This window comes from Homo sapiens, chromosome 18 (assembly GCF_000001405.40).
Source record: "Homo sapiens chromosome 18, GRCh38.p14 Primary Assembly".
Taxonomy (NCBI): Eukaryota; Metazoa; Chordata; class Mammalia; order Primates; family Hominidae; genus Homo; species Homo sapiens.
Genome location: NC_000018.10, coordinates 44,734,863 through 44,747,512, shown reverse-complemented (window position 1 = coordinate 44,747,512; position 12,650 = coordinate 44,734,863). Strand labels below are relative to the sequence as shown.

Below are 12,650 nucleotides of genomic sequence, written 5' to 3'. Positions count from 1 at the left end.
GTTAAAGCTCCTCCCTGCCATTCTCGAGCTGTGTGGCCTGGGCCAGCACCTCTCCTTTCTAGAATTATTTTCACTCTTAATAAAAGGAGAATTTTTTTTTTCTTCTGAGGATTTCTAATGCTCTTTTCAGTTCCCTTTTCCTGGGATGCTGAATGACTCTAGTCCTTACTGTAACACCTCCTGGAGCAGGTCCCAGAAGTGTGAGCCTATAGTTGTTCTAAATATAAACTTTAAAAAGCTCATGAGATTGTTAACCCACATGAAGGAGAACCAAGAGCAAAACCCCTGGGGGTCATGAAGGTATCCCTGAAAGGATGCATGGGGAAGAAGCAGGACCTTGGAGACCTGGTCATCACCTGTAGAAGCCTCAGAGTAGATATGATTGATGCTGGAGTCACCAGGAACCTCCATTCACATGCAGCTTCCCTAAGTGCTTGCAGCACAGCATTAAACAGCAGCCAAGGCTGGGGCTGGCATGTGACTAACTGTTGGGCCAAGGTCTATCTCTGGCCATCAGACACTATATAAAAACATGAGGCTGGTTCAATATAACTTAGGTGCCGTATGCATCCATAGCACACCCTACCTGTTCCTCACCTTTACCTGAAGACAGTGCTTACACACTCAGAAACAATATGCAGAATCGTCTCCAATCACATGTGCACGTAGCTTTCCTATTGTCCTCACGGCCATACCAGACCACAGACTCCATGTTGGCACAGACCCCACCCGCTTGTTCTTTACTGTGTCCCATGCATGATATTAATTGCCACTCCCTTAATATGTGAGGAATAAATGATTATTTCTAAACTGATAGTTCCTGATTGTTAAGAGTCAGAATATACATTAATCCACAAGTTCATCAAACATCTATTAAATGCCTTGCATGTTCTGAGCACTAAGCTAAACATTATGGGGGAACAAAGAGATATTCCAACTCAGACGCCACTCCCCAAATATCACATTTGATAACCCCTGTGTGAACTTGATTCTGTTAAAAACATATCATCCTACTTTTCTTACCACCTCCCCCTTAAAAAATATGTTCTTTTTCCTGTATTCTCCATTTTGGAACATGGCCTGAAGGCAACCACTCACTGGATCACCTAAAAAACACAGTAATATTCATCATGATTATTTATCACCATCACTTATTGAGTGCTTATTATGTGCCAAGCTAGCAACGCTATGACTATTGTACTATCATGTATCCTATTTTACAGAAATGTGGGCATCATTACAGATCCACTCCTTTCTCTCCAACTCCTTACATCCAGTGATTCTCAAAGGCAGTCCCACTACATAAATGTCTTCCCTTTCCACCTCTGTCATCTCTCCTATGACGCCCCATATTTTAATCACTATTCTTGCTTGAACTATTACAGCCACCTTCTAAATGGTCATCTGCCTGACTGACAACATAGACACCTTCAAGACATCCCAACAGAAATGGCAGAGTGGCAGAGTGACCCCTCTACCCTGCATATTTGACCACATCTCCCTGCCCCAATTCAAGCTCTCTCTTCACTCCTGGGTGTGTGTGTGCCTTCCAGATCAAGGAAGGGTGCCAGAGAAGGGATGGTCACCACTACACTGGACACTCAAGTTCTATGAAATAATTTTGCTCACCCCGCCTCTTACCAACTACCTTGAACATCAAAACAATCCTGCACCACCTCCTCCAGGAGCCTTCCCTGATGGCCCTTCTCCCTCCAAGGCTTCCTCCTGCTCCCTCCTTTGATGCTCACTTAGCACTTCCAAGGCTCCATGGCCCTAGTCTCCTTATTGACTCCCCATTTTGAGATCCTCAGGACAAGACAGAGTCTGAACCCTGCCTCCCCAGTGCCTGGCAAGGTTGAGCACAAGCTCGTTTCCTGTTGCTTCTGGCTGTATTTTTCACTGAATAATGCTTTACAAAATTGTTAGAGAGTAATAGGACACTCTCTTTTCTATTTTTGTCATAGCTTTGAAATACTGTAATATTTCAAGAAATACAGGCATGCCTTCCTTCTATCAAAAATAATGCTCTTATTTTTTTCTGGTGAAGAAACTGGGTCTTTGAGACATCAAGTGACTGACCCAAGGTCACACAATGAATCAAGGACAGAACTGAGGCTGCGATCTTGGTCATCAGCCCCTAGCCCCGCAGCGTTTTTCCACCTGCTCCCTACCTCAGCTCAGGGCCCTCTATTAAAAAGAAACACACCAAAAGAATACACATGGGTGTATGTGTATGTGTGTATATACATACCTAGGTGTACATACACAAGTATATAATATGAATATACACGAATGATTATAAATCTACCTTAAGCATTTAAAGAAAGGGGTGGGGGCTCTGAGAGCTTCACAAGGAGAAGAGATTCTACCCAAAAGGGGGCCGGGCAGGGCGTCGCAGCAGCCGCAGCACAACAGACAGCTGGTGTTTGGGTGGTAGTAAATCACGCTGAAATGAGCCTCTTCCGTGGGCTCAATGAGGCCCCCACAACAAAGGGAGGCCCAGCTTGCAGCCGGACAGCCTGCCCGCCAGCCCCAGACGCGCATAACAGCTTCATTCAGGAGCCCCACGTCCACACAAAGGCCCCGAAATCAATCCGACATCCCGCCACCCTGGACAATGCCCTGAATCTTCTCAGAATCGAAGCCTCGAATGAGGGGACAGCATTCAGGGGAGATCAAACCGCCGGCCTGCCACTGAAAGCAAGCACGAAGAAAGCGTTTTTTTTTTTGTTTTTTTTTTTTTAAGAGGAGGGTTGGACGATGCAGGCGACTCTCCCTGCGCTCCGGCGCGCGTGGTGGCTGTGCTTCGGCTCCCACAGCCAGGGCCACACTCATGCAAAGACTGCGTTTGGCCCGGCTTCCAGCAGTCGTCGCGCCAGGCGCTGCTGCGAGAGACTGGGTGCGCGACATTCGCCAGCCAGGGCCACCGTGCCGCTTGGCCTTGGGGCTTTGTGCAGCAGTGCCCCGTGTGAACTGCCACCGCCGGCATTTCCCACTGGCTCTTGGGCGCGTACAGTAGGGCGCACACACATGCAAATGCCCTGCAGGAGGCAGCGGCTTAGGGTGTTGACAGTGGCAGCCCTCACGCCAGGCCAGGGAGCCCCTGTTCCCAGGCAGGGCCCCTCAGGGTACTCATCTGCCCCATTCTGCTGCCTAATCCGGTTATCAGCTGCAGAACAACGGGTTGCCTGGTGGAGCTGGGGAGGCCCCTGCAGGGAAGGGGGGAGCAGGCGTGCAGCTCCAGCAGATGAGCCTGGATTGTATTCTCCTTTCCTAGGGTAATTGTTAAGGCTTCTGGTCTCTTCCAGTCCCCAGAGACCCAGGAGCCTGAGACTCAACGCTGCACTGGGTCACAGCTTTTCCTGGATGTCAGAAATCCACCTGCTCTCTGAGAGTGGGGGTTCGCCAGCAATGGCAGAGTGGAAATGTTCAGGGGTGTAGCAGGCAGTATTTCGCTGATCTGTGGGAATGGCACACCAATGAGACCAAGGCATGTGCCATTATATGTGGCCAGAATCTCTCCAGAAACTCCAGCTAATGTAGCCTTAAATTTGACATTCTTGGCAGTCACCATGAAGGTTAAATACATTTTGGTTGAAAACAAAAGGCTTCTGCTAGAGGGCCATTCAGTGACATCTTTACACTCACTTCTCCGAGATCCTGCCTGCACTTTTCCAAGTATGCAAAGGGAGCAGACAATGGCAGCAGGGTGAGGTGTGGCTATGTTGGGCAGCTGTCCATGGGTAGAGCAGAATAAAATCGAAACAAAAGGTGCATCAAACCAAGTCAGACAACTAGTAGAAAAAAAGAGGTAGGTTAAATGGGGGCTAGTCTTCCCTTGACCCCTAATTTTAGCCACAGAGCTATTTTCTTTTTCCTCTCTCTCCTGGAATTGATCCACCAACACACAGCCATATCCCACGTTGTATAAGAAACTCTGCCCATGCCCACTGCCCCTGGCAGACCCTTCTCCCAGAACCAGATCCTTGGGCAATATGGAGCTGGTACAAGTGAGGTCTGTTGTAGGTTGGGGGTTGGGGGGGTGCTGTACCTTTGAAATTCAAAAAGGGCACTTTCTACTTTCGATTCAGTTCATTCTCAACTGCTTCTACTGGCCAACAATAGTAAATTGAATCCAATTTCCCCCTTGGAAGGGTCGGTTGTTGTTGTTGTTTTTCTTTTCTTTTTTTTCTTACCCTTCCCCTTTCCATTTTCTGCTTTTGTAGCTCACCTCCTCCAATCTACTTCCCTACAGGAGCCGAAATTAAACAAGCTCCCCATATGCCATGCCTCACTTGTTGTCTGTTCCCCTCACCACCATCTGGCCTATTTGCTCAGCCAAAAAGAGAAAGAGAGAGAGAGAGAAAGAGCAAAAATAGGGAGGGGGAAGGGAAGGCAGGGAAGCAGGGCTAGGAGAGAGAAGAGGAGAGAGAGAGAAAGGGAGGAAGGTGGAGAATAAGAGAAGGAGGGAGGAAGAGAGAGGCAGGCAGGAAGGGAAGGAGGAAGGGAGTGAGACAGAAAGGGGTAACGGGACAGGGGGGGAGAGAGAGAGAGAGAGAGAGAGAAGGAGGGAGAGCCAGACACAATGAGGAGGCAGGGGTGATGATGCAGCCTCTCCCATCTGTTCCTTGGCCAGAGTCCCGGATGGAGCAGTAATGGAGAGCAACAGAACCAGTGATAATTAACCCAAACACAGACCTGTTTATTTAACCTGTTCAGATAGATCAACTCTGAGGCAGAGCTCTAGCAGAGGGCCCTGGGACATACTTAGGGAGACACCCTGGAGGTTGCTAAGGACACAGAGGCAGGCTGGCCCTCCCCACAGACATCCTGGGGCTAATGCGTACTTGGTGAGCAGGAAAAAAAGAGAAGAAAGAAGACTTTCTGAAATAAGTCAGTAACAACCTCCCAAATCTTCTGGTAGGGATTCTTTTGTCATCTTGCCTTTTCTCCTGCCATTATCTTCTTTCATGGCAATAGCTGCTTCTGGATGGTCAAATCATGAAAAGCAATGCCAGCCAATGAGCTATACTTTTGTGCTCCGCATCCTCCTGCCCCAGCATCCTCTCTGCCACCCCATCTTGGCATAAGGACCAGGGCCAGGAGACAAAAAAGGTGCTAACTAGAGGACATGAAACCAGAGCAAAATCTCCCAGAAGACCTCAGACTGAGATGGTCAGTAGCCAAGGAGCAAAGCTAATGGCACTGATAAGGGCTGAGTGTGAAAGTCAGGAGACCGGGGTGCGGGGCTGAGATCACCCACTTTTGCTGCATTGCTTTGTCTGCATAACTCTCCTCTCTTGGCTTCAGTTTACCTATTTAATGGAGACAGCAAGGTTGATCCCCCAAGATGTTTCAGTCTTCAAAAATTAAAATGTAAATGGTCATTGTCATCTGCCTATAGTTCTCCAAGTTAGAAAGAAGACAAGACTTGAGCAAGACCACCAGGGATTATGGTCTGTTTGAAATGGGTAATGTGCACTGCCCAGACAGGGGAGTCTACAGACACATCTGTGCGTGCTGCACCCACCTCCACCTCCGTCCTTAGAGGCCAGAAATACAGGGCAAGAACATTTCCAGGGCTGAGTAGCAGCAGACAGAATAGGAGTTGTGAGTCTGGGAACTGGAACCCAAGAAAGCTCTCTCGGCTGAGCACTGAGGGTTAGTGAGGGAGTGCACTGGCTGGGTTGAAAATAGGAAGCGTCAGGGGTGGGTGAGGAGTTGGCAGGCACCGGATTCCAAGTGGCTTCACGCTCCTCAGTGGAAGAAATGCAGAGATAATTTGAACATGGCTATTTTCAAGCTCCACAGCTGAGCTCCCTTGCTCTCCCACCCCACACCTCCCACCCAGCCCTGCAATTTGGCAAACCCTTTCTGCTGGCTGCTCTTATACCCAATATGTTGGGTTGCCTTAGCAACTAAGGCAATTATCTCCTTGGAGCAGTTAAAACAATGACCGTCATAAATAATAACAGTAAGAAAGATGATGGTAAAAAATAGATCTTCAGCATCTAGGGTCATGGGTTTGCATGGAACCGAAAAGGAAAAGGGGTCCCGATGGCACAGGCAATGAAAGGTGATCTCTTAGGACTCTAGTTGTATTTTATTTTTCTAGAGGAAGAGATAGGAAATAGTTAGCCTTTCCTCACAGCCCCATCCCCACCCCCAGGCAATCTTAGGACAGTTCCTATTTGCTGTTGATCATCCCTCTTATCCTCCCATCAGCCAGACTTGGCAAGGAGCACAGTGAACACTGCTTGTTTAATGCCTATCTCCTCTCTGGACCATGACCTCCTTACAGGCAGGCACTGGGTCTTTGATCTTGGTGCCCTTAGCACCTAGCTCAAGGCTTGGGACAGAATAGGTACTCAAAAATATTCACTGAATGAATGAAAATATATTATACTGAATGAATGCCCAATTTTTGCCTTAAAGTTTTTTGTTTGTTCATTTGCTTCCTCTAGCCCTCTGGGCCAGTTAATTATAAAGTCACTTTTAGTTTCTATATTTGATGATCTTATAATCTACTAGTCCACAATGCAAGATATAGCAGGCCTCCATATTTCCGAGAGAACTGAGAAATCAAGATGTACATTCAAATTTATCCAAGTGCAGGTTCCTTTTTCCCTAAAGAGCCATCCATAAAATTTTGTGAATGTAGATCATCACTTCAGACAAAACACTAAATTAAAACCAATTAAAAATGAGAATTAAACTAATAATGGATCAAACAACTTGTACTCACCCTACCTCAAACATACACACCCTCCATTCTACACTCTACAAACTCATCCCACAAATGCTTTTCCACAAATAAACTCCAATTAATGCACAGTATTTGTGATTCAAAGCAAAAGGCAGCATATCCTTTTCCCAGTGTCCACGAGAAATGTATGGAAAAGCACAGGATCAGAGAGTTGAACTGCATCATTTCACCTTAACCTAGAAAGGCTTTCTACCCCTATTTCTCTCTTTTAAAGTATTGGGAACTCAATAGCCACTAGACACTTTCAAAGTGCATTTACATCACATGTCATCTTCGTAATAATTCTTGAGGCAAGTTGGGCAGGAATCATTATTCCTATTCCGAACATGAAGAAAGGAAATAACTGATCACAAGTGTTAAGGAGTGCCAGCCCTCAGCTGTCCTGATAACCACTTTCTTGCTGTCTCCTCCCCTGGTGTGCACACTGTAATGGCCACAATGTGTAATAGGTAATATCGTCATTAGCGTAAAGGTAAAATGGGCAACCTTCCCAAGCTGTCAGCAGAGTAGTAGGCAAATACCTATGCTCACTTTGCAATGCCCAAAGGAGGTGACGTAACTCTACCATTGAATCCTTGGAGCCCTATGACTCACAATGCCCGCTCTAGAATAATAACCCAAACCTTAGCACCTGCAGATTCAAGGCCAGCCAAATCTATCAGTGCTTCACCTTGGCAGGTCCTGGTTCCTTACCAGGATTTGGGAGGTGAGGTGAGGGGAACCGTGACAACTCTTAGTAAACAAGACGATCTCATCCTCTGGCATTCCAAAGACACTCTAGGCAGACTTTCTATTCTTCCAACCAAAATCTATTCTTCAGGTTTTCTATTCTTCTGATCTTCATAGAAGGTCACATGGGAACCCCTCCACTTCCCACGTATGATCCTGCAACTCCTTGAGAGTCAAGTCTTCACACAGTAACCATAATCACTCCTACTCGGACATCAGACATCTGCCAAGACACAGTTAGCACTTGCTGGATGATAACCCAGTATACTGGTTTTTAAATTTAATGAACACATTGCCAAACTCTTCTGTATCTGTCATTCATTTGATACAAGTTGAATAACCAAAATTATCCTTTCAGGGTATTTTAAATGTGAAAGACCTGAATCCAAATTCAGATATCACTGATAATTAAAATCAGATTTCCCAGAACCTCAGATGAATGAAAATATTTAGTCAGACTCTTTTACAAATATACAAGTATCTTTTTATTAAAACATATCTTGAAAGCATTATGACTCCAACAGTTCTACAAATTATAGCAAATTGCTTTTTGTTTAAAAAGCAATTATTTCATTCCCCAGTATAAAGAATTGTGCTTGGAGGAGCAGTCACAGATCAAGGAGATAAAGGCAAGGTAAAGTTGTTTGTTAATGTTTTATTAATCCAAGTTATTAGCACTACTAAAATAAGATGTAATAGGCAGAATAATGGCCCCACAAAGATGTCCTGTGTCCTAATCCCTGGAACCTGTGAATATATTAGATGGCAAAGGGCAATTAAAGCGGAACAGAATTAAGGCTGCTAATCAGCTGACCCTGAAATAGACTGTCTTAGATCAAGCAGGTAGGTCCAAATGTTTTCACAAGAGTCCTTAAAAGTGGAAGAGCAAACAGAATAGGTAGAACCAGAGAGATGGCAGGTTGAAAATGATTCGACTTGAGTTACTAGGTTTAAGATGGAAGAACAGAGCTAAGAAATGACAGCAGCTTCTAGAAGCTGAAAAAGAAAAGGAAACATTCTCTCCTAGAGTCTTCTAAATGAATACAGCTCTGTCAACACCTTGATTTGAGCCCAGTGAGGCCCATTTCTGACTTTAACCCCCAGAAATATAAAATAATAAAATTTTTGTTGCTTTAAGCCACTAAGTTTGTGGGCAACTGTTACACATAAAAGGAGACTCTGTGTGTGTATGTGTGTGTGTTCGTGTATACCGTCTTCCTTTTTTCTTTTTTTTTTTTTTTTTTGAGATGGAGTCTCGCTCTGTCACCCAGGCTGGAGTGCAGTGGCATGATCTTGGCTCACTGCAACCTCCGCCTCCTGGGTTCAAGTGATTCTCCTGGCTCAGCCTCCTGAGGAGCTGGCATTCCAGGCATGTGCCACCACACCCAGCTAGTTTTTGTATTTTTAGTAGAGATGGAGTTTCACCATGTTGGGCAGGCTGGTCTTGAACTCCTAACCTCAGGTGATCTGCCTGCCTCGGCCTCCCAAAGTGCTGGGATTACAGGTGTGAGCCACAGCGCTCAATCTTTCCTTCTTTCAAGCTGCAAATAAATTTATGGAAAATGTGAACACTCATCTTCTAATGCTTCCAGAAAAATGAAATTGAGTAAAATGGAAGTGATGGCATAATTCTTCTTTCAGGGCTATGGAGCTCTTGAAGAATTTTACTGTTAATAAAGATCACCAGCAGCATGGACACCAGAAGAGAATTGCAAAGAGTAAGTGGAAAGAGATGTCAACATAGGCACATATGACTACAGGGTAGATGTCGTTCTTCAAACAATGGCAATTGGAGCATTAAGTGCCACTGGAGACCTCAGCATCTGAGTCTCTCACAGAGGGACACAGCCAGCACAGGGCACCCAGTCTTTGGCTTTAATAGCAGTTTATATGGGCAAGTCACAAAGAACACCACATGCTAGGTTCTCAGAGGAGGAAGACCCAGAGAATGAGCATGTGACCATGTGGATCTGCACATGCCCTAGGATATGCAGATGTCCAATCAATTGACAAGCCCAAAAAAGATAATTCATAAATGGTAGACAATGGGGGTGATGTTGTTGCTATCAAAATAGTGACATGGCAGGTCATTAATTCACTTATAGGTTGTACAGAGTAAACAACGTAATGCTGTGTCTGTCTCCCTGCTGACGTCAGTTTGGCCCATGCTGATGGGATTCCAAATCAGCTGAAAGTTACTCAATCGGGTTGGAAAGGCCCAACACAACTACACTTCTAAGGCTAAGAATCCCTGTTCTGGAACTTCCAGCCAGCTATTGGAAACTCACTGCCTACAAAGGCAACTCATTCCAGCTTTGGAAATTTCTAGCTTTAAACTCTGAGATTATGTAGCCTAATGCCTTCATCCTACAGACAGAAGTCAGGCCTAGTGAAGTGACCCTTCTAAGGTTACACACTCAGGGCAAACCAGAGTTGGAAGTAGAATCTGTGTCTTCTAAATTCAAATCTAGTGGATTTTACACTCTACATCATGTGCCTTCTCATAAGGTAATCTGGTCACCAGCTTGTACAATATTAAGTAAGCACAGTGTACTCCCAAGGCAAATCAGTAGTTGGGTGTGTGTGTATATATGTCTGTAGCCAGCCTATGAGTCTATACACCAGGGAGAAACCAGTCCTCTCCCCAGGGCAGGTAACCAAATACTGGGCATCTGTATCCAAGTGGGCTATACTCACCTCAGACACCAGTCCACTCCACTTCTAGAGACTAACACGTTGCTCTTTCAGTCAGCCAAGAAGTTTGTGCCTGACAGTGAAAGCTGTTACTGCTGGATCATAGATGTGAGTCTTCACAGGAGGCCTGTCCCAGACAAACTCAACACAGGCCTCTAGCAAGCCAGGCCTGCTGAGGAGTTCCAACTGAGCCACTTGCCAGACTTGCAACTGAATTTGCCTCTCTTTCTCATCCTGAGCTTTTAGACCTCAATATCATTCATTCATCATTTATTCTTTTACAAAGATGTACCAAGTGTCTACGGTCTACCAGGCCCTGTGTTCAACACTGGAGATATACTGAGGAAAAAAGACTGAAAGAAGGAGGGCAATGAAGTGTGTAAGAGAGAGAGAGTGAGCACAGAGGACACAGTGGCTAAGTTTGCCTGGGGCACAATGGAGATAAGAGTAGGCTTTATGAAACACTTCCAGATAAAACTCCCTTTCCAGCAATACCTCTTTTCCAAAGAACTGCAAAGTCATGCAAACTGTATGAGCAAGTCAGTCAACAAATAATGCATTAAGTATTCTAAGTGCACTGTGGGTTATGAGAGAACTGTACGTAGAAACTTCTGTTTTGATCCTTTTTCAGTAATTAAAGTGATAAAATATATACACAACATCATATTGTATATAATTGAAATATATGCTGATTTCAAAGGAGCATGAAAAATGGAAAGAGTGAAGTAGGATAGAATCTACATTACCAACCATGTGGCACAAAAAAGAGAAATATCACAGTGGGTTGATGTTATCAAGGTAAGTTTTCTAGACAAGATGACAGTATCTTCCCAACTTAGGGTAATGACATCCTTATGTCTATAAAACTGATCTCTCCAATAACAGTGTCAATTTTAAAGACTTGTCTTGTGTTCTTTTGCATACCCTACAGAGCTTAAGTAAACAGACGTGATCTCACTCTGTTGCCCAGTATAGAGTGCAGTAGTATGCAATCATGACTTGCTGCAGCCTCGACCTCCCAGGCTCAAATGATCCTTCTTCCTCAGCATCCTGAGTAGCTGGGATGACAGACGTGCACCACCATGCCTGACTAACTTTTTTTATAGAGAAGGGATCTCTCTATGTTGCCCAGGCTGGTCTCAACCTCCTGGGTTCAAGCGATTCTCCTGCCTTGGCCTCCCAAAGTGCTGGGATTACAGGCATGAGCCACTATGCCCAGCCTGACCTTCTTAATGATATGGCATTTCCCTTTGTGGCTATTCCAAAAGACCAGTAGAGTGACCTGCATTTGGAGGTAAAAATGTTCTTCATGATTCTAAGGCAGCAGCAGCTGATAGTGACTAAAACAAGCCCCACAAAATGTTATCTTTCCCTCCCACCACAGCAGCTGAAGATAGCAGTATATGTTCCTCAGGCTGAAACTGCCCAGATGTTTTATGAAAAAGGACTCACCAGAAGCCAACCTGGAGCATCTTTCTGATGAGTTTCCTTGAACACGAGAGCAGCAGGTAAGAAATATCTTATACCATTCTGTCCCTGGCAGAACTTGTGTTAAGTCATGGACTACTAGTAGGCGTAGGTGAGACAGGAAGGGGAATGCATCCTTACAGTTTTGATCTAGAATCTTTTCTAAAAGTGTTCCTGATCCTTTTCATTTTTATCCCAGGAAGACTGGGCCACTCCAGCATCTGACCCTCCCTGTGCCCTGGAGCACCTATCATAGGTACCCCCGCCTAAGCCATTGTCTGTCTCTCTTCTTAATGTTTAGTCTTGCAGATGTTTGGGTGTTTGTTACTATCATGTCTGTTCAGTTGAACTTTTATTTGCTAAAATGTATTGTGCAATGGCAAGCAGAATTAGTCTCATTAAATAATAGAATCAAAGAACCTAGAGATAGAAAGGAAATTTAATAGATCATCTGGTTCAGATCTCTAACTACAAGCAATTGATGCAACCTTAGTTGTAAGGAAGAAACAGCTGAGCCCAGGAAATTATGTGACTTACCCAAGGCTAAACTGCCAGCAACTGAAAAAAGAAGAACTAAAATTCAGGTCTCCTGCCTCCTAATGCAGAGCCAAGCTGGGTCTGTATCCTCAATTGATTTCAGCACACATGACCACAGATGAATCTTCAAGCACATTTTCAACAGGATTTAGCAACATGGACTAAATCCTCTGCATCTATACCAACACTCTTTCTTGGGATTAATGAATATTGAGAAACATCATTGAGGTGTGGCTTTCCAACTTTACAATATTATATTAGTGAATATCTCTAAGTAGAATTCTATGTAGACTTATAAATAACTCTCTTCTTACTGGATAGCAAAACTCCTTAGGAGTAGAAATGGAACATAACACACTTCGATATTGTCTAAAACTTAATCATATAGAGTCAATTTGTATTTATTGAGTACTTCCTATGTGATATGCTGTGGGAAATGCCAATAAATTAAACCCTT

General features: G+C 44.7%; 1 protein-coding gene across 19 annotated transcripts in view, besides 2 other annotated features; it reads right to left on the bottom strand.

Moving 5' to 3' along the window:
* Window positions 1-12,650, bottom strand: part of SETBP1 (SET binding protein 1) — a 388,438-nt gene that overhangs the window by 320,998 nt on the left and 54,790 nt on the right. For 3 of the 19 annotated variants that reach the window (XM_047437479.1, XM_047437480.1, XM_047437481.1), the window contains exon 3: window positions 1-12,650. This exon is cut by the window's left edge; it is cut by the window's right edge and continues 22,187 nt beyond it. The exons of the other annotated variants lie outside the window; for them this stretch is intronic. The gene's annotated coding sequence lies outside the window, so the exon portion shown is untranslated. 19 annotated transcript variants of the gene reach the window in all.
* Window positions 1,477-5,155: an enhancer, noted in NCBI's record as "VISTA enhancer hs1362". NCBI's record gives its function as "enhancer in: neural tube[6/6] | hindbrain (rhombencephalon)[6/6] | midbrain (mesencephalon)[6/6] | forebrain[6/6] | cranial nerve[5/6] | other[6/6]" and the evidence as "EXISTENCE:transgenic organism evidence [ECO:0001131][PMID:17130149]".
* Window positions 2,820-3,321: an enhancer, noted in NCBI's record as "H3K4me1 hESC enhancer chr18:42324157-42324658 (GRCh37/hg19 assembly coordinates)". NCBI's record gives its function as "activates a minimal SCP1, AML or CMV promoter by ChIP-STARR-seq in naive H9 embryonic stem cells {active_cell/tissue: H9 hESC(naive)}" and the evidence as "EXISTENCE:reporter gene assay evidence [ECO:0000049][PMID:30033119]".